At 40.6% G+C, this 27775-nt stretch overlaps 1 protein-coding gene and 1 long non-coding RNA gene across 18 annotated transcripts in view, besides 1 other annotated feature; one reads left to right on the top strand and one right to left on the bottom strand.

The window, feature by feature from the left end:
• Positions 1–2138: 2138 nt before the first annotated feature.
• Positions 2139–26882, bottom strand: DDX59-AS1 (DDX59 antisense RNA 1). The gene is made up of 3 exons (NR_110787.1): positions 26767–26882; positions 5959–6080; positions 2139–2636 (listed from the first exon to the last, which is right to left on the bottom strand). It is a non-coding gene; the product is annotated as a DDX59 antisense RNA 1 (long non-coding RNA).
• Positions 26329–27068: a silencer, noted in NCBI's record as "silent region_1675". NCBI's record gives its function as "represses an Ori minimal core promoter by ATAC-STARR-seq in GM12878 lymphoblastoid cells {active_cell/tissue: GM12878}" and the evidence as "EXISTENCE:reporter gene assay evidence [ECO:0000049][PMID:35858748]".
• Positions 26482–27775, top strand: part of DDX59 (DEAD-box helicase 59) — a 29103-nt gene continuing 27809 nt past the window's right edge. For 11 of the 17 annotated variants that reach the window (XM_047431475.1, XM_047431471.1, NM_001349802.3 and 8 more), the window contains exon 1: positions 26482–26622. The gene's annotated coding sequence lies outside the window, so the exon portion shown is untranslated. The other 6 variants (XM_047431472.1, XM_047431461.1, XM_047431466.1 and 3 more) reach the window with 2 other exon arrangements.

The raw sequence follows: 27775 nt of genomic DNA, 5'->3' as shown, positions 1-27775 counted from the left end.
AATACATGTCCTTAGGCCACAATGAAACACTTGAAGCTAGGAAGCCTCACTCAGTCCCTTTCTTTGGTCACCTCCATTGCGAGTTGTAAGAGTGAGCTTTGGGAGACCTCCCTTTTCCATCACTCTTATTCTCTGGCTGTAGCTCAAGAAGATCAAATGGAGGTTTCCCCTCCCACCACACTCAGCCCGTCTCCTTTTCTGTCAGTCTCAGATATTGTGGTAATCTTATTTGGATAGTACTTTGGGTATGCACTTATAATTCATCAAAATACTTATGTTCATCACATACATATTACTTGTATTTGAGGATTTCAGTGAAACTCTTAGGTTAGAACATTTGATGTGGGTCATTTATATCCCCAGAGAGTTCTGTGTCTATAACCTTCATGCAGGACATAGTCACTTTCAATTATCGCTTAACAAGTATCACAGACTGAAGGAATTATGAAGTAATTTGTCCTTAATGTTCACTAATAATCAGGCCCATTTGTAATTCATAGCTTCAAATCTAATTTAAGTCTGAGAGGAGGCTCAAAGAAAATTCAAATTTGCCAGGCATGGTGGCTCATGCCTGTAATCTCAGCACTTTGGGAGGCCAAGAGGCAGGCAGATCACTTGAGCCCAGGAGTTCGAGCCCAGCCCAGGCAACATGGCGAAACTCCTTCTCTACAAAAAAATACAAAAATTGGCCAGGTTTGGTGGCACGTGCCTGTGGTCCCAGCTACTCGGGAGGCTGAGGTGGAAGGATTGCTTGAGCTGGAGAGGTCATGGCTGTAGTGAGTTGAAATTGTGCTACTGCATTCCAGTGTGGGCGGTGGGCGACAGAGCAAGACTCTATCTCAAAAAAAAAAAAAAAAAAGAAAAGAGAATTATTATTAAGGGTCTAGAAAATAAGACTATATGAGGAAAGGTAGCAGAGTTTGTTAATCCTGGTACTTTTAACATTTGGGGATTATTCTTTGTTGTGTGTGTGTGTGTGTGTGATACACTGTCTTGTGTATCGTAGAGTGGTTAGCACCATGTTTGGCCTCTGCCCATTATATGCCAGTAGCATTCCCCCTCCATCTGTGACAACTAAAAAATGTCTACAGAAATTGTCAACTGTCCCTTGGAGGTAAAATTGCCCCCAGTTGAGAACTACTAAGTTAAAGGGGTTAAGATATTCATCATAAATAAGAACTCTTTTTTCCAGTGTCCAAACATATGAAGGGCTCTCACACTGATGACAGTCACTAGCAGCTTTCTATTTTCACTGATAACAGAAAAATTTCAGCTCAAAGGATTTGTATAAAATATAGTTGATCAATTTCTTGTGAGGCTTGTTATGCACTGAAATGGATTACTAAGACAAGAATGGAATTCCTTTCTCTGCCGGTCTTTAAAGAGAGATAAATCTCTCATTTCTAGCATAATTCTGCTGCAATCATTCCCTAGAGAAGATGTGCTGGAAGACCTCTCAGCTCCTTTTAGCTTATATTCTATTATCTGGCAAACTGCAAGAGCTGTCTGGGCTTCTTGTGCATTAGAACACCAGAGCTACCCTGTTGATCAAATGGGACTTTTCCAAAAAGGCAACACGAAATATGAATGTTTCTTATTGTGTTGACTTTATTGGAAAAAATACAGGAATCCATAAAATTGTCCCTCGGTATTTTCTTTTGAAGATACTTCTCAAGGGGCTTGTAAGATGTTTGACTAATTCTGTGTTACATTTGATATTATCTTACTGTGAATTATTTATTCACTCTAAGTGGTAAGAAGTATTGTTGTGCTTTTAAAGTACCACAGGATGAGAATATGGGGTTTGTGTGAAAACAGAGACTGACTTCTTAGAAAAGAAGCTGTCCAAAGGAGAAAAAAATTGCTTGATGACTTTTTAAACTTATCTATAGTCCTACTTCACTCCAGAAAGAACTTAAGGCTGAATTCTTGATAATGACCAAATTTTTAAGCTCTCGAATCTACAGTAATGTTGGTTGGCAATGTGTGAGACAGAATTCTTGAACTAGATTTTGAAGCCTATAATCAGACCAGTGCTTCAAATTTTGGAAATGCAGAGTAGAACAATGATGCTTTGCATTTCTTTTCTATATGATAATAATTTATTCATTTAAATATATGAACCAGTCAGATATCACTTGGTTTTAAAAAATTATTTTAATTCTTAATTGTATAATTTTACATTTTGGAGATTTTAGAAATGGTCACAAATATATCAGTTAGGACTCTTTCTGTTGCAGGATTACAGAAAACACTAGTGTAAAGAAAAAAGGGGTGGGGAGGAGGAGGGAGGGCTTACTGGATCTTGTGCCTAAGAAGCCCAAGTGTAGGCTGGGCATGGTGGCTCACGCCTGTAATCCCAGCACTTTGGGAGGCCGAGGTGGGTGGATCACCTGAGGTCAGGAGTTCGAGACCAGACTGACCAACCTGGTGAAACCCCATCTCTACTAAAAATACAAAAATTAGCCAGGCGTGGTGGCAGGCGCCTGTAATCCCAGCTACTCAGGTGGTTGAGGCAGGAGAACTGCTTGAATCCAAGAGGCAGAGGTTGTAGTGAGCTGAGATCGCTGAGATCGCTGAGATCGCTGAGGTCGCACCACTGCACTCCAGCCGGGGCGACAAGAGCAAAACTCCATCTAAAAAAAAAAAAAAAAAGATGTTCCAGTGTAGAGCAGACTCCAAATATGGCTGGATCCTAGGATAAAAATAAAATAACATAAAATTGGTCTTATTGCCAGGGTCCATGCAGCAAGATGACTGTAAACTTAAAGTAAGTCAGCTTTCCTAGTAGCTGTAATGAAGTCATGTGCCCATTCTTGAAACAGCTGTTGTTGTCTAGGGAATGTGAAGTTCTGGTTGGCTAGGCTAGGTCACAAGTCACCCCTAGAGTTGGTCACAAGTCACTGCTAGAGCTAAGAATGGAGTCATACCTGCAGAGCCCCATGGACTAAGAGTGAGGGAGAATGGATTCTCAAATAAAAATGAGTATATCACTGAAAGTAGAGTGAATGGATGTTAGGTAGTCAAGGACAAATGTCCATCACATACATATTACTTGTATTTGGGTATTTCAGTGAAACTCTTAGTTTAGAACACATTATCATTATGATATCTGGTCACATAGCTTCTTTTTAGAGTTATCGTCACAAAGAATGCCAATAGTCCACTACTATGCATTATCTCCTTATTCTGAAGTCAGAGAATTAGTATCCAGGAACATGGCTAGTCAGAATAATCCTTATGTTTCCCACTTCCCCTACTGATAGGTGTGGCCATGTGGCAAAGTTATAACCAATGAGACGTGAGTAGAAGTGATTCATGTAACTTTCAGCTTGTATCCTTAATAGGAAAGTGGGTTGGGCCACTCCTTCATATACAGTAGTGCCCCTTATCCAAGAGAAATAGGTTCCAAGACCCCAGTGGATTCCTGGAACCACAGGTAGCACTATATACTATGTTTTTTTCCTATATGTACATATCTATGATAAAGTTTAGTTTATAAATTAGGCATAGTAAGAGATGAACAACAATAACATAATAAAATAGAATAATTATAGATAAGTTTCTGAGTAAATTTAAATAGAGCAATTTAAAACTTACGTATTATTTCTGGAATTTAATATTTTCATTTAGTATTTTCAGACTGTGGTTAACGATGGGTAACTGATATCACTGGAAACAAAACTGTGAATGAAGAGAGACTGCTTTGATTCCTGAGTTTTCTCTGTCTTCATCTTATCTTCCCTTTTCTAGGGACTTTTTTTTTTTTTAATCATCATCTTCATGCTTCAGGTCCTTCACTAACATCTGCCCTTGGAAAATGGGCTCATAAACTCAGTAAAGTTTGTGATTGACAGATTTAATGTGCTGACTCCTAGGAGTGTTCATTTCAGGACAAAAAGGTTTAACTAAAAGGTACACTTCTATTATTGTAGGATTTACGCCAACAAAAGTCAGTAAGAAAGGAGTTTTTGATATTGTTTTTGTCTTTAGTAGGGAAGAGCTTCTTGTTAGCTCTTGAATTTTTATTTTTTTTTTTTTTACCATCAGTTCCTTTAAATGAGGAAGCAAATAAGGATCACATACTACATTTAGTTAGTATGTTTCTTTTAAACTATGGGTTCCTCCCCTGTTTCTGTCACTCTCACTTTTCTTTCCTTGAAATGTATTTGTCGTTTTTCCCGTAAAGTTTCCCACAGTCTGAATTTTGCTAATTGCATCCCACTGATGTCGTTTAAAAGATTCCTCTATCTGTTATATTTTCTGTAAATGAATACATCTAGAGGTTCAATTCAATTGAGGTTCAATTTTTTGGTGAGATACTTTGTAAGTGGTTTGTGTACTTTCATTAGAGACACACAATACATGGTTGTCTCTTTGTGTGAGGCTGATTGATCAGTGGATTCAGGCTTTGCCAGGCTGAATCATATGCTATAAAGTTCTCCGTCAGCTTTTCCCCTAATGCTTTTAGCAATCATTGGTGATCTTTGCTTGCATCCATTATTTCATTAGAGATTGCAGCACTGTGATATTCTAATTCTATTATGCCTGCTCTACTCATTAGCTAGAATATCCCCATAAAGGAAAACTTTCTTTCATCCACTAATGGTTACCCTGAGGTACAGTTTATACAGAAAGGTCAGACAATCGTTTGATTCTTTCTTTTTACTTACACATTTTAAAATTGTAAGTTGATTCCCTAGCATCCTCCAAAAGTAACCCATGAAAATTTTAGGTTTTTTTCTTTTTTTGGTCATTATGAAATCTATCTACATGTAAGATGAACATAAGTAAGGCTAGGTAAAATTATTATTTATTATTTTTCAATTTCTACATATGAAAGGAAATCAATTCCACAGCCTACTATATGACACATTTATGCTACTATGATTATTTTAAAAAGCAATTAAACAGTAAACTAAATACTGTTTTTTTTTTAGTGACAAGGTGAAAAATTAAAATTAAGAAAATATACAAATTGATACTTGCCTATTTATAGAAAGCAAATTAGGTTAAGATGTATCAGCCATATTCATAGCAAAATTTTAATTGACTCCAAAAATGTAACATCTTCACATTTCTCAAAATCTAATTCAAATCAGAAAATATTTGCAATGCTTTTTTGAAATGTTGTTTTGGGAATAATTAAAATGGCACAGTTATTTAAAACTGTGACCTTCCAGAAAAACAGGCTATCCAGGTTTACAGTGCAATCTTTTGCATGACTTAACCTTATAAAAAGTATGGAAACTCTAAGTGTAGGGATAAGAATGTTTAAGAGGGAGAATATTGGGGCCAGGAGCTCCCTTTGGTTCTATTCTTTTCCAAAAAAATCTGCAAATGGCACCTGCTAATGCTTTCTCTAGTGTGAGGGCCATCAATTACCCTAAGCTGGAAAATAAATTTCTATCATTTTGTTGGTAGCTTGCTAGATTATTAAATCTTGTAAGTAATTCAAATATTTTTGTATCAGGTACTGCCAAGGTGCTGGTGATACAAAGGTAAAAAAGTCAGAGTGTTTACCTTCAGGGATTTTACAGTAGAGTGAGTAAGGCGGCCCAGGAAACAGGCAGGAAACCCTAGTGAAAAGCTCTGATATAGCCCCAGTGTGAAATTTTTCTTCCAAAATAATTATTACATTATAACACTGAGTGAAAGCCTAATCTTGCATTTGCTTATAAGGACAAACACACACCCCCAGTGCACTCTCCTCCCACCCCCATCACTGTCCTTTTGCTTAAATATAATCTCCAAGGGATGCAAGCACAACTACATCCTTGGCTCTTATAAACTTGGGACATTGCTGGGCGCGGTGGCTCACGCCTGTAATCCCAGCACCTTGGGAGGCCGAGGCGGGTGGATCACCTGAGGTCAGATGTTCAAGACCAGCCTGGTCAATGTGGTGAAACCCTGTCTCTAATAAAAACACAAAAATTAGCTGGGCGTGGTGGTGCATACCTGTAATCCCAGCTACTTGGGAGGCTGAGGCAGGAGAATTGCTTGTACCTGGGAGGTCGAGGTTGCAGTGAGCTGAGATTGTGCCACTGCACTCCAGCCTGGGTGACAGAGTGAGATTCCGTCTAAAAAAAAAAAGTAAATAAAAATAATAATAATAAACTTGGGCCATTACCGTACATACCTAACACTTCTGACAGTAGGTTTCAGCCCAGCTATGGGTCTGCCTGCCTCACCAAAGAAAGAAGAGCCTTCAGTTCTCCACCTTATTATTCAGGGGTAGGTCATAATCCATCAATTAATACTGAAAGGATTTAAACATATACATCTGCGGTCATGTTTTTTTGTTTGTTTGTTTGTTTGTTTGTTTTGAGACGGAGTCTCGCTCTGTTGCCCAGGCTGGAGTGCAGTGGCGCGATCTCGGGTCACCGCAAGCTCCACCTCCCAGGTTCACACCATTCTCCTGCCTCAGCCTCCCGAGTAGCTGGGACTACAGGCGCCCGCCACCGCGCCTGGCTAATTTTTTTTAAATTTTAGTAGAGACGGGGTTTCACCATGTTAGCCAGGATGGTCTCAATCTCCAGACCTTGTGATCCTCCCGCCTCGGCCTCCCAAAGTGCTGGGATTACAGGCGTGAGCCACCGCGCCAGGCCTCGGTCATGGTTTTCAAACATTTTTACTCCAGATCCTGTGTTTAAATGAAATCACCCCTCGGTATAAAACTGAAAGCTGCTACCCTCATTCCTGATTTCCGAGCATCTCTGCAGAATTCCTGCTGTTTTTCAGAAAGCTGACTTCAAGAATAAACATTAAAACAAAACGAAAAACCTTTAACTTGAATATTTCTTGCAAATGCTTATGTTCATCGTTTCTTTTTTTTTTTTTTTTTTTTGAGACGAAGTCTCACTCAGCTTCCCAGGCTAGAGTATGCAGTGATGCGATCTTGGCTCACTGCAACCTCCGCCTCCCAGGTTCAAGCGATTCTCTTGCCTCAGCCTCCTGAGTAGCTGGGATTACAGGTGCACACCACCACACCCAGCTAATTTTTGTATTTTTAGTAGAGATGGGGCTTCACCACGTTGGCCAGGATGGTCTCGATTTCTTGACCTCGTGATCTGCCCGCCTCAGCCTCCCAAAGTGCTGGGATTACAGGTGTGCACCACTGCGCCTGGCCTATGTTCATCCTTTCTAAGGACACATAGTCTTCTTACTTCATGTGATAATAATGATAATATTTTATATTTTATAAAGCTCTTAACTTTTGGCTGGGATCAGTGGCTCATGCCTGTAATCCCAGCACTTTGGGAGGCCGAGGTGGGTAGATCACTTGAGGTCAGGAGTTCAAGACCAGCCTGACCAACATGGTGAAATCCTGTCTCTACAAAAAAAAAACAACAAAAAAAAAAACAAAAAAAACCACCAGAAAAATTAGCCAAGTGTGGTGGCATGCACCTATAGTCCCAGCTACTTGGGAGGCTGAGATAGAGAATCGCTTGAACATGGGAGGTGGAGGTTGCAGTGAGCTGAGATTATGCCACTACACTCCAGCCTGGGCAACAGAGCGAGACTCTATCTCACACACACAAAAAAAGCTCTTAACTTTTTCAAGTACTTTTCCATCAGTTATTTCAGATTTTGTGGGCTATGTCTCCCACAATTTAATGTAGCCATTTTAAATTTCATGGTGTATATCTAAGAGGAAAATTTGATATTATAACATGTTTATGGATTTTTCCCACTGTTTGAGTAGTATTGCCTTTCAACTAAGTAGACCTCTTTTAAGCAACCATGATCGCTCATACTTAAGTCCAGTTATCATCTGACACTGAATAATCCACCTACCTGCAATAATCGATTAATCAACACATCAAAATATGCTATAATAAACAGAAAATCCCTAATTTCGACAATGCTTTCATATAATTTGTAGGCTATATTTTAACAAGTCATTTTAATTCTCACAGCACATTATTACACTGTTAAATTGAAATTTAATTTTTTTGCAAGCTGCATTCATTGTTGTTAATATTTATAACTGTTAAGGGATTATAACCAAATGATATCTGGTCCTGGGATAAGGAAAGAGCAAGAATGCAATCTGTTAAATTGGATTAAAGTATTAAGCTCAATTTCTGAAAGCACACTGAATGTATTCCCATAAAAATTAAGATTTTGAAGTGCAGAAGTTTCTTATGATGCAGCAAACAATGAGAAGTCAAAGATGAAAAGGCATTCAGCCTGAAATGAATCCTGCATAAAATGAAGAAAATAGAAACACTCACAGGTTTCATTATTTTAAGGGAAAAAAAACCTTCTATTTTACAGTAGAGAACAATAAGATGTGGGAAATGGAATGGGAGAATGGAGCAGTTTTCTTCTAGGGACATGTATTTAAGAATGGTTTTGGCCGGGCCTGGTGGCTCAAACCTGTAATCCCAACACTTTGGGAGGCCAAGGCAGGCGGATCACCTGAGCTCAGGAGTTTGAGACAAGCCCGGGCAAATGGCAGAAATTAGCCGGGCGTGATGGTGGGTGCCTGTTGTCCCAGCTACTCAGGAGGCTGAGACAGAATTGCTGGAGCCTGGCAGGTGGAGGTTGCAGTGAGCCAAAATCACGCCACTGCACTCCAGCCTGGGTGACAGAGAGAGACCTTGTCTCAAAAAAAAAAAAATGCTCTCAAACCCCTGAAACGCTCTACTAAATTCTGTTGCCTTGTTGAGATAATCCACTAAAACCAATAACTGTTCCTTTTTTCTTACAAGTAAAAACACTTTCTTATTTATTTATTTATTTATTTATTTATTTATTTTGAGACAGAGTCTCACTCTGTCACCCAGGCTGGAGTGCAATGGCGCAATCTAAGCTCACTGCAACCTACGCCTCCCAGGTTCAAGTGATTCTCCCACCTCAACCTCCCAAGTAGCTGGGACTACAGGCATGCACCACCACACCTGGTTAATTTTTGTATTTTTAGTAGAGACAGGGTTTCACTATGTTGACCAGGCTAGTCTCAAACTCCTGACCTTGTGATCTGCCTGCTTCGGCTTCCCAAAGTGCTGGGATTACAGGTATGAGCCACTGCGCCCAGCGATACTTTTTTATTGTAGGAGATATTTATGAAGAAGAAGAAAAAGAAATTACCATAAGCCCACCATCAGAGATAACTACTATTAACACTTTTAACAGCTTTACTGAGATTCACATCCCATAAAATTCACCCATTGAAAGTGCACAACTCAATTTTTTAAGTGTATTTAGAGTTGTACCATCATCAGCACCTAGTTTTAGAATAATTCATCACCCCAAAAAGAAACCTATTAGCATCACTCCTCATTTCCCTAACACACATTTCCCCCTACTCAGTCCTAAGCAACTACTAATCTATTTTTTGTCTCTAGAGATTTGCCTATTCCGGATATTTCATATAAATAGGATCACAGTATGTGGCCTTTTGCAACTGATTTATTTCACTTGGCATAATGTTTTCAAGATTCCTCCATGTTGTAGCAGGTATCTGTACTTAATTTTTTTAAATTGCCGAATAGCATTCCATTGTATGTACATAACATAATTTGTTTATCCATTTATTATGGATATTGGGTTGTTTCCACTTTCTGACTGTCATGAATAATGCTGCTATAAATATTCATGTACAAGTTTTTGTTTGAATACTTGTGTTTAATTCTCTTAGAATCTAGGAGACTGAAATTTCTGGGTCATATGGTATCCCTACGTTTAATATTTTGAGGAACTGCTAAATTATTCTCCAAAATGGCTGTACCACTTTACAGTCCCATCATCAATGTATAAAGGTTCCAATTTCTCCACATCCTGACAACCCTTTATATTGTCTGCCAACTATATATATATTGCTATCCTAGTAAGTGTGAAGTGCTATCTCATTGTGGTTTTGATTTGCATTTCTCTAATTACCAATGATGTTAAGCATCTTTTCATGTATTGGTTATCTGCATATTTTCTATGGAAAAGGGTCTATTCAGATCCTCTGTCCTTTTAAAAATTTGTTTTTTTTTTAAAGTATTAAGACTTCATTATAAATTCTGGTTACAAGTCTCTTATCAGATATATATTAATTACAAATCATTTATTCCATTCTATGAATTGTCTTTTATTTTCATGATAGTATCACTTGCAGCACAAAAGTTTTTAACTTGATGAAGTCTACTTTATCTATTTTTTTCTTTTGTCTCTTACGCTTTTGGTGCTGTATCTTAGAAGGTTTTGTCTGACTCAAGGTCATGAAAATTGTGCCTGTATTTTCTTCTACAGATTTTCTAACTTTAGCTCTGACATTAGAGATTAGAGTCTGATCCATTTGATTTAATTTTTGGTAAGTGTGAGGCTGGGGTTAAACTTAATTCTTTTTTTTTTTTTTTGAGACGGAGTTTTGCTCTTGTTGCCCAGGCTGGAGTGCAATGGCGTGATCTGGGCTCACAGCAACCTCCGCCTGCTGGGTTCAAGCGATTCTCCTGCCTCAGCCTCCTGAGTAGCTGGGATTACAGGCATGCGCCCCCACGCCTGGCTAATTTTGTACTTTTAATAGAGATGGGGTTTCTCCATGTTGGTCAGGCTGGTCTCAAACTCCCGACCTCAGGTGATGTGCCCACTTCGGCCTCCTAAAGTGCTGGGATTACAGGCGTGAGCCACCATGCCCAGCAAACTTAATTCTTTTATACATGGATATCCAGTCATCCCAGCAACATTTATTGAAAAGATTATTCTTTACCCTCATTGAATTGGCTAGACGCCCTTGTTAAAAATCAATTGACCATAAGTGAAAGGGTTTACTTCTGGACTTTCAATTCTATTTTTCTGACCTATATGTCTATGCTTGTGCAACTATTAATATTTGCTATGAATTCATCTTTTTTCATATAAATTTTTTCACATTTATTTTTTCAAAACCATTGAGTCATACCAAGCATGCAGTTTTTAACTTTTTTTCTCTTAATAGGCCATTAATATCCTCTGTCATTAAATATTCAACCTAATTTTTTTTTTGTTGAGACAGAGTCTTGCTCTATTGCCCAGGCTGGAGTGCAGTGGCACGATCTCAGCTCACTGCAAGCTCTGCCTCCCGGGTTCACACCATTCTCCTGCCTTAGCCTCCTGAGTAGCTGGGATTACAGACACCAGCCACCACGCCCGGCTAACTTCTTGTAGTTTTAGTAGAGACGGGGTTTCACCATGTTAGCCAGGATGGTCTCAATCTCCTGACCTCATGATCCGCCTGCTTTGGCCTCCCAAAGTGCTGGGATTACAGGCGTGAGCCACCGTGCCCGGCCTATTCAACCTAATTTTTAACGGTTGCATTATATTCCATTGTACAGATGCATAAAAATTAGTTAAACTAATCTCTTACTCAATACTTAAGAGATTGTTTTCAGAATAACATTATCTTTAACATAATAAACATCCCCAAAATATAGCTCTATTTGTATCAGTAATTACACCATAAGAAAAAAAACCTAGAAAGAAAAATTGCTAAGTACAAATATTTTTAAGCACTTGATTAAAAAATACTGCTATTGTATTAATTGACTAGCAATGTACAGGAGCGTGAGTTTCTTTATATGCTTACTAAAGCTGGATATTATCATTTAAAAATCTTGACAAATTTTGAATTCACATTTTATCAATGATTTGTAAGAAGGATATCTCAAACTTAGAAGTTTTTGATAGATTAAGTCAAATACCCAACTTTCCCCATATTTTAAAGATCTCAAATTATGTATATACATGTATACATACGTGTGTGTGTACACACACACACACACACACACACATTTTAGTTTCTTGTAGAGATGAGGTTTCACTATGTTGCCCAGGCTGATCTTGAACTCCTAGGCTCAAGGGATCCTCCTGCATCAGCCTCCCAAAATGCTGGGATTATAGGCATGAGCCACGACACTCAAACAAAAATCTCAAATTTTAATGTTATTTTTATTTTCTATATGTAGTACTGCCTTATTTTGCCTCACAGAGTAAATTGCCATTGAAAGAAAACACTTTGAAGAAAGTGACCTAATGAAGCAATCAATAAGATATAGATTTACAGAGACAGGGTGACTACTCCAGCAAGGCCTCACACGGTTACTTTACATCGATGTGGTCACCAAAGTGAAGTTAGCTATGTAAGTTCTGAAAGTAAATTTGATCAGTGATTCAGAGAGTTGATTGGTCTCTGATGAAAGGACTCACGGTAACCAACTCACCGAAGACTGATATTTAAAGTGGAATGCCTTCTTACTCATTTCTTGTGAGGCACCTCACTGACACAGACCAGATTGCTCAAAATGTTTGCTCAGGGCATGTTTTCTCTTGCATGAGACCTGGCACATAGAAAATACTCAATAAAAGCCAGGCACAGTGGCTCAGGCTTATAATGCCAACACTTTGGGAGGCTAAGGCAGGAGGACTGCTTGAAGCCAGAAGTTCGAGACCAGCCTGGGCAGCAAAGTGAGACCTCTGTCTCTACAAAATTAAAAATTAAAAAAAAAATTAGCCAGCCATGATGGCTTGTGCCTGTAGTCCCTGTAGTCTCAGGTACCTAGGAGGCTGAGGCAAGAGGACTGCTGGAGCCCAGGAGTTCAAGGCTACAGTGAGCTATGATTGTGCCACTGCACTACAGACTAGGCAACAGAGTGAGACCTCGTCTCATAAAAAAAAAAAAAAAAGAAAGAAAGTACTCAATAAATATCAGCCATTATCATTATCGTTATTATCATTAATATTATAGTGCAATTGACTGAGATTTTGCTCATCTCCCCTTTATAGGGAACCCACTCTGATCTTTGAGGTGGCTCTGGACCTTTTGGAGTCATGCTCACTTTGAGAGTCTAATGAATTCTGTGGATACTTCCAGCAGATAAAAAAGCCCATATGTACATATGGAGAATGGGCTAAGAACTGTGCTCTTATGTCCACTATGGCCCTACTCAAATGCTCAGACTTGAGCAGTCCTGAGTTAAGAGTAAAATGCATGTGCAGTTCACAATCAGGCAACCACACTAGAACACTGGGCTGGGACAAACTCTCTTGGCTTTTTTCTTTCATTTTGCTTTGTGCCTTTCTTCTTTTTTTTCTTGGAAATATCCTCCCCTCAGAAAGCCAAAAAATGTGAAGCCCAGGCCTGCCTTGATTGAAGACATAAATAGTCCTCACCCCACCTGACTCATTGCTCTCCTTTTCATTTCTCCCTCTCTCTCTTTTTAAATTTTAAAGTGATTTTTTAAATTTTAAAGTGATTTCACTATTCATGTGGATATTCCATCTGACATCTTGGCCTCTCAGTTCCTCAGCCTTTTTGGCATCTGATAATCTAATCCTCCATGCCCCCTCAGATGACCATGGCATTCTTTTTCTCATGACAATCACTGCACACTTCTGACACTGTAACTTCCAGAGTCCCATTCTCTGACCAGCATCCCCCATCCTTCTGGATTCTCAAGAACTCCTGCTTCAGCAATTCTTCAACTTCATGAAGAACTCTCATTCTTAGACTCTATCATTTTCTCAACTATAATCAGCTATCCATGTCCTCACGTCTTTTTCTTTAGCTAGCCTAAAAGCCACAGCTCATGTTTATAATGACTCCCTTGCAAACACCCTTAAAACCTTTGCCCTTCTCTCCCTGAGCTTACCCTGTTGTATTCAATTAGGAAAGCCTGAAACTCTGCTTATACCCAACAATCTGCTCACTCTGGGCCTGCATGAGAGCAGCCAAATAGTGCTCAGCTGATCTTATTCACCATATCCATTAGTTTTCTTTAAATTCATGGCCCAAAATCTCAGTTGGGTGCTTAGCATACTTGACAATCCTACTATATTTCTTGAAATGTTCTCTTTCCCACTCTTCAAAAAGACTAGTTCACATCTTCCGTCTTTTCAAAGCTTCTAAATGATACCACCTCCCCACAACCCCAGCTGTAGCCCCACTCTTACCCACAGCTTTAACAAAAAATGAATAAATCAAAGCAGACAGCCAGGAGCGGTGGCTCACACCAATAATCCCAACACTTTGGGAGGCTGAGGTGGTTGAATCACTTGAGGTCAGGAGTTTGAGTCCAGCCTGGCCAACATGGTGAAACCCCATCTTTACAAAAATATAAAAAATTAGCCAGATGTGGTGGCACGTGCCTGTAATTCCAGCTACTCAGGAGGCTGAGGCAGGAGAATCGCTTGAGTCTGGGAGGCGGAGGTTGCAGTGAGCTGAGATTGCACCACTGCACTTCAGTCTGGGCAACAGAGCGAGACTCCATCTCAAAAAAAAAAAAAAAATCAAAGCAGAAAAGGACCACTCAAACTACAGTGTGCTTTTGTATGTACCCATTTTGAGTTACCTCCTAGTTCCATGGATCAAGTGTCCTTGCATTTCAAAGGCCAGCCCTTCTGTTTGTGTTCTGCAGCCCATGCAAATCTTGCATCTTCAAGGACTTTGCTCTGGAAATTATTCCCTCTCTCACCTGTATAATCAATTTCTCCCTTTCCCATGGTTTATTTCCACCAGCAAACAATACGCCATAATAGCTCCTATCTTAAGAGAGAAAAAACATATCTTGACCACATATCTCTCTCCAGCCCCAGGCAAGTTTCTCTGCTCCCCTTCATAACAAAACTTCTTGAGTTGGCCATAATCGCTGATTAGCTTTTTACCCCACATTTTCTCCTCAGTCCATTTCCCCTGAGATTCCTCTTGTCCAAGTCACTAATGGCTTCCATTCTGCCAGATATAACAGTCACTTCTCTGTTTTTATTTTACTTGAATCTCTGAGAGGTATTAGAAACACTTCTCCTTGAAATACTTTCTTCTTTTGCTTCTAGGGCAAAACAATCTCTGGGTTTCCCTCCTTCTTCAATGACATTTATTCTTAGATCACTTGCCAGTTCTTCTTCGACTCAGTCTTTAAAAGCAGGAGTGCCAAAGGCTCTGTCCCTGCTTCCCTTCTCTCCGTTTATGCATACTCTCAAGTCAAGTGACCATTTCCACTCCTGTCGCTTTACATGCTATTTTTAAACTTAAAAGAGTGGTTGAGGAGCTAGGTGACTGCGGTAAGGGTAGGAGTACAGTTCATACCTTTTACTTTTTATACAATGTATAAGCATCACATACTCAGACCAATTAAAATGTAAATAAATACGTGAGAGCGAAAAACATCTCTCTCATTTAGGCCACAATTAATTTGATTTTTTTCTTATATGCAGCCAAGCTGAATCCTAACTCATACAGAGGGACAGGTTGAATTTACAGGGCAAAAAGGGGTAACTACTAGTGTTAAGGAAGGCAGGAGGGACAGAATCCCCAGCCCCAGTGGAGGAATCAGCCTTTGATAGGACAAAGGGCACATCCTATGTAGCACAGAGGAAAGGAAGCACAGAGAATTACTGATAATGCAGGAAGATTTGCATGTTTGGTGAGAAGCTGAGAGGGTTCTTATGTCATGGCTTCGTGTTGTCTATGAAATAGGAGGCAAGGTTCGCTCATCAGTCAGGGAGTGGGTCCAGGGAAGCTGGGAGAGGGGATTTTTGAGGCTTGGAGGGAGTGATGGTTTACAATAATTGTTGCTGCAATGGAAGAGCAAGTTGACCAGAGAAAAGCAATAGGATTGTTGAGGGCCCCTTTGTGACTGGTAATCATGAATTTTTATTATTATTATTATTATTACTTGAGACGGGGTCTCACTGTGTCACCCAGGTTGGAGTGCAGTGGCGAGATTGGATCTTGGTTCACTGCAACCTCCGCCTCCTAGGCTCAAGGAATTCTCCTCCCACCTCAGCCCCACGTAGCTGGGACCACAGGAGCACGACACTATGCCCAGCTGATTTTTTTTTTTTTTGGTATTTTTGATAGAGATGGGGTTTCATAATGTTACCCAAGCTGATCCCCTGAGCTCAGGCGATCTGCCTGCCTCCCAAAGTGCTGGCTGGGATTACAGGTGTGAGCCACCGTGCCCAGCCAGGTATCCATGAATTTATAGGCGAGAATGCAGCAGATATGAGTTGTAACTTTCTTGGTTCAAATCCAGGCTCTGCCAGGAAATGACTGCTCTCAGGCAGGTTTCTTAAAGTTTGTACCTCAGAGTTTCCTCATTTGTAAAATGGGGGCTCTTTCATTTATTCAACAAATATTTAAGTGTCTACTGTGCACTATTAGACACACTTCTCCTTGAAAGCATAGTTCTTGGGGCTGAGATTAGAGCCAAATGGCCAGATATGATGGCTCATGCCTATAATCCCAGCATTTTGGGAGGCCGAGGCAGGAGAATTGCTTGAGGCCAGGAGTTCGAAACCAGCCTTGCCAACTTAGTGAGAACCTCACATCTCTATTTTTAAAATGTTAAAAAGTATTTTTTAAAAAACATATTAGAGCCAAAAACAAGAAAAACTTTGTTCCTTCATGGAGCTCACAATAGTTATATGTACCTTCCTTTTAGATTGTTATGAGGATTACACGAAATTTTAATTTCCTAAATGCTAAGATGTACACTTTTTTACATTTTACAGCTCTGAAATTGAGATTCATTTTACAATCAATGGCATTTTACAGTTAATTGGCAGGGTGTTTTTCTTTTTTAGTGTTATATAGAGTAATGGTGTCACTTATAATCAATGGGGTTTCAGATTCCATAAAATATGATCATACTTATAAAATCTTAATTAAGTATCTGGAAGGCTATACACTGCAGCACTTGTAATAGCAAATAACTGGAAACAGCTCAAATGGTTATCTGCGAGAGACTGGAGCTATAGTGCACCCAATGGAGAAGTGGAAAGGAATGAAGAATATTTTTATACACTGCCATGAAGCAATCAATCTCCAGGATATGTTGTCAGCTGAAAAGAAGGTGGAAAAAGTGTCTACAGTATGCTTCTGTTTATCTAAAAGGTGTATATATATATGCACAGATATAAAATACTTGCTTATATTTTCAAAACTGGAAGGATAGACAAAACAATTTTTGAATTAAAAAAATTAAGTAACCTATGGGAGAGGGAAGGAATAGGGTGGAAGGAATAAAAGCTAAAGTTTTCAGAATATACATAGTTTTGTAGATTTGATTTCAAACCCTGTAAATGTATTGTGTTTTTGTTTTTGTTTTTTTAGAGATAGGACTAGGTATGTTGCCCAAACAGGAGTGCAGATCATTCACAGGTATGATCATAGCACCCTGTAGCGTCACACTCCGGGGCTTCAGTGATTCTCCCGACTCAGCCTCCCAAGTATCTGAGACAGGTTTATAAAATTATAAAACAATGTTAAATCAAAATGGAAAAGAAAATCAATTCATGAAAAGCAAAAGCAAAAGGAAACAAATAGATCCACCCTTTGAATTGACTTAGTGGCTTAACCATACAGAAAGGATTATTTCACATGGTTTTAAAACACAATAATTTGACTATGTATCCTTACTAGAATATATCTGGAATTTTTAAAAAGTCAAAGACATTTTAAACTATTTTCAGTAATTATATGGTTAGTAATAATTTTGGTATTATTATTCTGAAGCCATTTTATATGTAACAAATAAAATTATATTAAATTTTTAAAATTTATTTATTTATTTATTTTGAGATGGAGTCTTGCTCTGTTGCCCAGGCTAGAGTGCACTGGTGTGATCTCGGCTCACTGCAACATCCACCTCCTGGGTTCAAGTGATTCTCCTGCCTCAGCCTCCTGAGTAGCTGGGACTATAGGCATGCACCACCACGCCTGGCTAATTTTTGTATTTTTAGTAGAGATGGGGTTTCGACATGTTGGCCAGGCTGGTCTCGAACTTCTGATCTCAGGTGATCCATCCACCTCCGCCTCCCAAAGTGCTGGGATTACAGGTGTGAGCCACCACTCCTGGCCATTAATATACTTAGAAACTAAAATTTTCAGTGTAAAAGTGATATCAAAATAAAATTTAAAACTTTTTAATTAAAAACCTTTTAACTTTTTAAAGTTAAATAAAAACCTTGTAATCCTAAATTTGAATAAAATGAACTTACGATTTTTTTCTCCTAAAAAAAAAAAAAAAAGAATGTCTGAGCTCTGTCCACTAAAAAGGCTTAGAAACCATAACCAATTTAGTAGCAATTAGCATCTCTCATGCCTAGGCTGTGGCCTATAAATACCATTTTCTGTCAAAGGGAATCAGAAACCCAGGCTCCTGATAGAAATGGCTGATTCTCAGTCTGGGACAAAAATATGTAAGATGGGCCAGGCGTGGTGGCTCACGCCTGTAATCCCAGCACTTTGGGAGGCCGAGGTGGGTGGATTATGTGAGGTCAGGAGTTCGAGACCAGCCTGGCCAACACGTCGAAATACCGTCTCTACTAAAAATACAAAAATTAGCCGGGCATGGTGGCATGTGCCTGTAGTCCCAGCTACTCAGGAGGCTGAGGCAGGAGAATCGCTTCAACCTGGGAAGTGGAGGTTGCAATGAGCCAAGATCCCACCACTGCACTCCAGCCTGGGCGACAGAGCGAGACTCCAACTCAAAAAAAAAAGTAAGATGAGCTGGGAACAAGCTCCATCACACCAGAAAGCAAGGAAACTTTCAAAGACTACTGGGTTTTATGTGTCAAAAAGACCCTAAAGCCACCTTGAAGAGGTTCCCACTGTCAAAGATGGGACAATTTAAGCTTCACAAAGAATAGTAAGTGCAATTAACTGAAATGCATCAAATATGTTAAACATTCTTGAGTCTGGCCTCACACAGTAACTCACACCTGTAATCTCAGCACTTCGGGAGGCACAGGCAGGAAGATCACTTGAGTCTAGGAGATGGAGACCAGCCTGGGCAACATAGTGAGAAACACATCTCCACAAAAAATTTTTTAAAAAATTAGCTGGGCATGGTACTGTGCCTATAGTCCCAGCTACTCAGGAGGATCGCTTGAGTCAGGGAGGTCAAGTCTGCAGTGACCCTAAGTCATGCCACGGCATTCCAGCTGGACAACAGAGCAAGATCCTGTCTCAAAAAATAAATTAAATAAAATAAATCCTTGAGTCTGCCAGGCGCGGTGGCTCACGTCTGTAATTCCAGCAATTTGGGAGGCTGAGACGGGCGAATCACCTGAGGTCAGGAGTTCAAGACCAGCCTGGCCAACATGCTGAAACTCCATCTCTATAAAAATACAAAAATTAGCTGGGCATGATGGCAGATGCCTGTAATCCCAGCTACTCAGGAGGCTGAGGGGGGAGAACCGCTTGAACCCGGGAGGCAGAGGCTGCAGTGGGCCGAGATCGTGCCATTGCACTCCAGCCTGGGTGACAGAGTGAAACTCTGTCTCAAAAAAAAGAAAAAAAAAATCCTTGAGTCCATAGTGATTAAGGAAAAAAAAAAACACACACGCTCATAGGTCACCTTTGGAAGATGCCAGAGGATCAACTCCTTAGCCCATGGTTACAAAACAACACTCTTAATCAGTACAGCCATCTGTGCAGTGCTGGAACATTTCTGATTTCAGTAAAATATCTAAGGCTCGTTGCAGTGCTGAAATAAATCCTGAAAGTACACAATATAAGTGGGATAAGATGCAAAAGGAAGACAGAAGATGACAGACATGTTGGGAGAGAAATTAATAGACTAATGGTCCCAGTGTGATTGAAAATGATCATGACGGGAGAAGTTGAACAAAGTAAAGCTGGAAGAAAAGGAGGTTGTTACCAGATAAAAGAATATCCAAATTGGTGCTCTTGATTTGTCCCCTGCTGAGAAATTTAGAGTTGCCTTGGGAAAACCTAAGATGCTCTTCTCTTCATTTTTTGAAAGTTTAATGTCCCATGAACATGCCTAATCTTGAAAGGGAGAATCCAGCACAATACTTTTTCCTCTGGAAAATTAACGCATATTGGCAGCAGGTTTCTTTTTTTTTTTTTTTTTGAGAGAAGTCTCGCTCTTGTCCCCATGTTTGAGTGCAATGGCTTTATCTTGGCTCACTGCAACTTCCGCCTCCTGGGTTCAAACGATTCTCCTGCCTCTGCCTCCCAAGTAGCTGGGATTAAGGTGCCTGCCACCACGACCAGCTAATTTTTGTATTTTTTAGTAGAGATGGGGTTTCACCATGTTGGCCAGGCTGGTCTCGAACTCCTGACCTCAGATGATCCACCCGCCTCGGCCTCCCAAAGTGCTGGGATTACAGGCATGAGCCACCACGCCTGGTCATATTGGCAGCAGGTTTCTAAGTATGCTAATGGTCATAGCTCATATATGATGTCCTCAGAGTATGACAGCCTTGCAATATTGAATCTAGTGAAACCTGCCTGAGCCTTCCTTTGCTAAAGTTTACAAAGGTAGATTTTATAGCTCAGCAGCGGTCTATTTTTCTAAACATTCAATGACATCTTTCTAAGTTCAAGTTTTAGGATGAATGTAGAGTGGTAAAATAGACCTCATTTTAATTCGGCATCTCCTAAATTGTCATCCCAGAAGCTTTGCTGACAAGAATTACGTACTTCTGTGAATGTATCTGTACCAGGAGTTTGAGCAGAAAAAATAATACTGATCACTGAGATCACAAACTCTATGATGTATATGAGATTAGTAGGATGACATTTCTAAAATTATTACATTAAAATGTTTATCATGTTATCGTAAGTATTAAATTCCTCTCTATAAAAGTTTTCATCATCATGTTTTGTGGTTACTATAAAGCTATGTAGTGCGTATTGAACTTGTGTCAAACATGACTCTATCTCCTTCACCCTCCACGTCCTATCTATCAAGAAGAACTATTGACCTATTGAACTTGAGTGTCAACCATGACTCTATCTCCTTCACCCTCCACGTCCTATCTATCAAGAAGAACTATTGACCTAACTTTCTCTTTATCTCTTGATTCTGTCTACTTCTCTTTTTCTCCACTGCCACTAATTCAGGCTACCCTAAAGTTCAGGCCACGCTCCTCTTCAGGCTGAAATATTGCCTCAGGTTCCTACCTCGGTTTTACCCTCTACATTCTTCTCTCCATATTTTAGCATCCCCCACTATCATTTCTCCATATTGCAGCATAAAGAAATAAATCTTCGCTGTTAAATGCTACTGACATTTTGGGGTCATTTGTTGCTGCAGTATAACTTGATCTAAGAAGACTAATATCTAACTTATTTCAGTTCCTTGGATGTGCTATATCTCACTTTGGGCCTTTCCTTCCTCTTCTTTTTCCTATTTTAATTGTCCCAATTCCTCTTCAGCTTTTAGATCTCAGTTTAGATGCCATTTCCTCTGGGAAGCTTTCCCTGATTCAGCAGGTCTGGCTTATGTACCCATCCTTACATTCCTATGAAACCCTGTAATTCCCTTATCCGCACTTACTGTGGAATTGTCTGTCTCCCTCCTCCACCTGCCTGCTGGAAGCTTGGTGAGGGCAAAGACTATGACTTCCTATTTCATCATTATATTCCCAGTTCTAGGCACATGGCAAATGTCGTAAATCTGTTGAATGAGTAAATAGTTCAATTCTTAGAATTTGAATACTTGGTCATACTACTTATCAGGAAAAGATGCCAAAGGCAGAAAAAGTACTGAGGTCCAAGTTCTGATCTGATTCATTGTGATGATACAAGTGGAAAAAAAAAATCAATGGCAGTTAAATACTATTAAACTGTGCTTTCCTGTATCCACCTTGATCAGAATTTATACGGGCTTTCCAAGCCTCACATATTAAAGAGTAAGGAGTAGCTATAAACTAATACGTGTGAGACTGAAGTTTCCCAAGATGAAAGAATGCTAGGCATTATTATTTCTATACATGTTTCAACAGCACATGAGAATAACATACAGGTCAGCTCACATTATTGCAGCATTTCCTGTTCTAAGACACAGCTTAAGGCAAACTCTTAGAATGGTTATGTAGGATGTATGCATTCCACAACTCTTGTCTAATTGAGTCACCTTTGTATACTTTCCCATCCCTCCCTGCCATAAAGCATATTAAAATTGAATTAGTAACGCCATCTGTGATTTCCATGTGACCTACTATAAATAATGTTTTCTGTGGCCCCACAATTAAAAGACCATCATAAAACCATTTCCGTGAAGATCTTTTGTGAAGAAAACAGAAATGGGAGTTTAGATTAATTATACTGTGCTCTGGTGCAACCTAAGAGGAAACCTGATTCTGAGCTTTTTGATTAAAGAAAAGAGTAGGAAAGAGCCACAAGTGAGACCTGAGTGGCTCTGAGGTTTGACTTATTAACCTTGAAAGGTGAAGAACTTGATGTTAAAAATTAGGTTTCATCCAGCATCCTAACTCATATGTAGAAATGAGTTGCTACTCACTAGGCTTCATTCATTCATTCATTCATTCATTCAGAATGAATCATCCTGCTCATCAAGATTGGCTACTTTTCCAAAAGTAACAATAATACAAACATATAGCAAAGGTCTAAAGCTTCCATAAGAAAACTAAGGAAAGTTGGGCACAGTAATGGAACACATGAATGTGAGTTATGTCTAAGGTTTCCAACAGATTAGGAAGTTTAGGAACACTAAAAATGGTTTTGGAACCAGGTTTCCTGATTGAAAGTTAAAGGGATATGGTTTTATACTTACATAAAGAAAAGCTTGAAGGCAGTGTAGTCTAGTGGATTTAGGAGACAGACCTGGGCTTCAATTCCTGCTGTGCCACTACCTAGCTGTGTGACCTTGGGCAAGATGCTTAATTACCTAAACCTGTTTCTTCATTAGTACGATGGGGATAAAATGCCTACTTTATAAGATTACAGTGAGAATTAAATATGACAATGTTTCTAAAATGCTTTGCACAATGCCTAGCCATAGAGAGTCTAATTAAATAGTAAGTATAATCATGGAGCTCTCCAGTGAAGAACTGGACTGCCCTGTAAGGTGGGAAGCGCCCTGTCTCTAAAAGCATTCAACAAGCCAGTTGGTCCTGTAGCAGGGTGCTATAAAATAATTCCTCCTACAAGGGTATGGAGAGTAGCAAGGGGTGGTGATTGGACTCTGATGAATGCATTCAAACCTAAGATTCCATGACACATTAATGCTTGAATTGCTTTACAAATATTGATTCTAAAATAAAATGGCCCCCAAAATACACAAAACTAAAATTGCTGGACTACAGGGAAAAATGAACACATCTACCTTTATAATGGGAGACTGATTGCTTGATCTATTTTATCTACTAACAGGTAAGAGAAATACTGACGGGGAAATACTGATGGGGAAATCTGAACATGAACATTAGTAAAGATATAGAATATCTGAAATACCAAGCTTGATTTATTTGCAAGTATCATGTATCTATCTAATGGTGAATAAACATTCTTCTCTGGTTTTAAAAATATATGAAAATTGACCATAGACTAGCCATAGAGCATTATCGGGCTACTGCACTCCAGCCTGAGTGACAGAGGGAAGACCCTGTCTCTTTAAAAAAAAAAAAGGCCGGGCGCGGTGGCTCACGCCTGTAATCCCAGCACTTTGGGAGGCCGAGGCGGGCGGATCACGAGGTCAGGAGATCGAGACCATCCTGGCTAACACAGTGAAACCCCTTCTCTACTAAAAAATATAAAAAATTAGCTGGGCGTGGTGGCGGGCGCCTGTACTCCCAGCTACGCAGGAGGCTGAGGCAGGAGAATGGTGTGAACCCGGGAGGCGGAGCTTGCAGTGAGCCGAGATCGCCCCACTGCACTCCAGCCTGGGCGACAGAGAGAGACTCCGTCTCAAAAAAAAAAAAAAAAAAAAACAGAGAAAAAAAAACACTTCATAAAGAAAATGAAAAGATCTTGGACTGAATCCTGGATTAGGGGAAAAAAATAGCTCTAAAACACCTTAATGGAACAACTAGTAAATTTTCAATAAGGACTGCATGTTAGCTACTCGTACTTCATCAATGTTAAACTACCTAAATTTGAGCCAGGCCCAGTGGCTCATACCTGTAATCCCAGCACTTTCGGAGGCCAAGGCAGGTGGATAGCTTGAGCCTAGCAGTTGGAGACCCCCGTGGGCAACATGGCAAAACCCCATCTCTAACAACAAAAAAATTCTCTCTAACAGGTGGGGTGTGCCTGTAGTCCTAGCTACTCTTACTTCATCAATGTTAAACTACCTAAATTTGAGCCAGGCCCAGTGGCTCATACCTGTAATCCCAGCACTTTCGGAGGCCAAGGCAAGTGGATAGCTTGAGCCTAGCAGTTGGAGACCACCGTGGGCAACATGGCAAAACCCCATCTCTAACAACAAAAAAATTCTCTCTAACAGGTGGGGTGTGCCTGTAGTCCTAGCTACTCGGGATGCTGAGGTGGGAGCCTCACTTGAGCCCGGGAGGTGGTTGCAATGAGCCGAGATCGCACCACTGCACTCCAGCCTGGGTAACAGAGTGAGACCTTGTCTCAAAAAACAAACAACCTCAACTGGAACATTTTTCTGTGAGTATAAAAGAGAATATCATTGTCTTTGGAGACACATGCTACAACTTACTCCTAAATGGTTCAGAAAAAAATATATATCTATAGTATACATATTTTATATATATAATCTCTCCTACACACTAATATAGCAAATATAGCAAACTGTGAACTTATGTGAAGGGTATACAGGAGTTCATTAATTCTGAAACTTTTTGATAAGGTTGATTTTTTCAAAATAAGTCAAAAAATTTTTTTATTTGAAAACACACTATAAACAGGGAGAAGATATCTGCAACACCTACAATTAACAAAAGAATGTTTCATTATATATACATATATACATTATATATACATTTATATATGTACACACACACACATCCTTAGAAGAGGAAGAGAAAACATGAATGAATAACATATTTCAAAGTGCTCAGCCTTATCAGTAATTACGGAATGCAAATTAAGACAAAAACATGGTATTTATTCTGGGTAGACTAGCAAAAAGTAAGAAGTGTGAAAATAACGAGGATTTAGAGAGAATTGTGGTCGGTACTGGTGGCAGTATAGATTGGTACAACCACTTTGAAAACATTTCTGCTTTATCTTTGAAAGCTGAACAGCCCCCATAGCCTCTGATGCCGCAGTGCTAATCCTAGGTTCAAATTAGAGTCCAGCGCATGCACAGAAGGTGAACAAGAATGCTCCTACTAGCCTTATTAGTAATTACTAGGGGCAGATTCAGGTTTTATGGGGTATGAGCTTATATAATTGGAAAAGAGGAGGCTTTTAAAGAAAAAGATTCAGAATGATGAATACAAATTAGGTTCAAAAGTGACTAATTTTTATAATGGCAAAAGAAATTACAACAATTAGAAATGTCACAAAACCCAGGAAAAGAGTTCTGTTATAGGTATGTGACCTACGAACTTGGGAAGTCTGATACATTTAGTCTGTGTGGTTCCCATCAATAAAGAAAATACTTAAAGTGCATTTATAATCCTATCCGCTACAGTATTGAATACATTCCTGACAGGAGAAAACTTCCTTTTGACTAGGCAGTAAGAAATAAATGTTCTGTTACTACACGTAACAACTTGGATGAACCAAAAAAACAAATGTTGAGTGATAAAAAGCGAATTCCAGGCTATATGTATTTTTATAAAGCTCAAAAAGAAGAAAAATACACCAATACACAGGAATGCATCCAAATATGATAAAACCACTAAAAATGGCAAAGAGGGACAAAACTGAAGATAGTGGTGGTGAGCTAAGAGGCCAGGAGTAGAATCCTGGAGATGCATAGATACATGCTAAATACTGATAACGTGGTGGAGTGATAGTTTCATTAGCATACTTTAAATTTTACATATTTGGTAAATATGCTCTTTTGAATGCATCGACTATTACACTGAAAATATTTTTAAATACTTAAGGCACCTGAATATAAGCTGGCTTCCCTCCTTCCTCTCCCGTGCTGTCTCCTCTCCCCCATCACTTCTCAACTACAAGCTGCTTGGGACACGTGGCTCCAGAGGTTGGCAAAACAGGGAAATGTCAGCCCACAAGGAACAAGAACCGTGACTTGTGTTATTTTCTTGTTGGTGTTGGGGTGGGGGGAGGGGTGCGGTGGTGCAGGAAATATTATCCAGCTTATCATATATGCCACATCAAGCTGACTCCGTTTAAATTTTGAGTGGCTCTACTAGCTAAAGCCAGAAAAGGGTTTTTGGGCCCAACGGGCAGAAGTGCCCCTCCCTTTTACACTCACACTTCCCACTTTCTAAGGGTGCCAGGCCCCCGCGCCGCCCTCCTGCTTCTTTCCGGACGGTCCAACTCTTTTCCACCAGTCCCAGCCCATTCGATTACGTAAATTCTTCCAAGAGGATTCCCAAACGTGCCCCTCCGTCCAGAACTCGCCCAGCCCGGACCAGTTCCGAGATTTACCACCAGCCCAGAGCTGGGCGGGGGCGTGGAAAACGCGAGGAGCCTTCCCGCCCCTCTCCTTCTCCCTCCCTCCCTCCCAAGCCACTGCCGGCTCCCAGCCGAGCTCCGCCCCCGCGGTGGCCCCGCCTCCCCGCCGCCCGGAAAGCGGGCTGCGGCCCCCTCCCAAAACCCGGGGAAGTGGATTCTACTCTACGCTCCGCTCCGCTCCGCTCCGCACCACCAACCCCGGGCCGCAGTCCTGACGAGCGGGTCAGGGCTTGTCGGGCGGAAGCCTGGCCTGGAGCCTGGAAGGGGGAGACGGCCCGAGCGGGAGCGGGAGCGGACGCGGCCTCAGTCCTGCGCGGGTGAGCGTGCCCCGGAAGCTTGGGCCCCTGGCCGCCCTGGTGCCCCTTCTCCGGGACCTGGGGCGCTAGGCCGCGGCGGCAGAACTGGTGCCCCTGCGCGGCCTTCCTCCCATCCTTACAGTTCCCCGTGTCCCAGGCCTCTACCCGGAACCGGAGCCCCGCCCGTCTCCTAGCAGCTCCGTGACGTGAAGCGCCTCGGGGTGCGGTGCCGCCGGGCGTGGGTGGGAGGCAACGCCCGAGGGGAGGGCCCGCCAGTGCACGGGGGTGCGGGGCGCGTTGGCGAGAATTGGAGGCCGCGCCGCCGCCAGCCGTCCGCCGTCCCGCCCAGCAGGAGCACGTTCCCTTTCGCCATTGGAAGACTGAGTTCCAAGCTTTTTCCTGCTCACCTAGAGCCGTCCCTGCCCCGCCCGCCACCCCCTGTACATTTTCGGAGATTTAGGATAGTAATTCTAGACCCTCGGTTGCATTTCTGTTGGAATTTTTCTGGAAGTTGGAATCTGGCAGTTTAAACAAAGAATTTTTTTAAGAAAAATATTTATTAGTATATTTGATAGTCCCCAGATTAGGTTAAAAGCCTTATTCCCAATAACTGTAATTTTGCAAAGACATGTTTTTGGTGTAAAAAGGTATAGATATGGGTTGATGAAAAGAATCAAACTCTGAAAAATATTTGAAGAGATTTATTTTGAGCCAGATTCAAGTGACCATGGCCAGTGACAGTCCTCAGGAGGTCCTGAGAACATGTGCCCAAGGAAATTGGGGTACAGCTTGGTTTTATCTATTTTAGGAAGGCGTGAGACATCAAATACATTTAAGAAATACATTGGTTTAGTTTAGAAAGGCGGGGCAACTCAATCGGTAAATGTAAACGTTATCTGGTTGAGGTTATCTAAAGACCTGGGATCCATAAAAAGGAATGTTCAGGCTAGAGATAAAGGATTGTGGAGACCAAGTTTTATTGTGCAGAGGAAGCTCTTAGATAGACTTTAGAGAGAGCAGGTTGTAAATTGTTTTATATTGGACTTAAAAGGGTGCCTGGCTCTTAGTTGATTATCTCCTGGATCTGGGAAGGAAGGAGGGAAAACAAGGGGAGATGGGAATTCTCACCAAATGCAGATTTTTCCTGCAAGAGACTTTGCAGGGGAGTTTTAAG

The sequence above is a fragment of the Homo sapiens genome, chromosome 1, assembly GCF_000001405.40.
Source record: "Homo sapiens chromosome 1, GRCh38.p14 Primary Assembly".
NCBI lineage: Eukaryota > Metazoa > Chordata > Mammalia > Primates > Hominidae > Homo > Homo sapiens.
The sequence above is the reverse complement of the archived record's forward strand: the minus strand, read 5'-3'. Positions and strand labels throughout refer to the sequence as shown.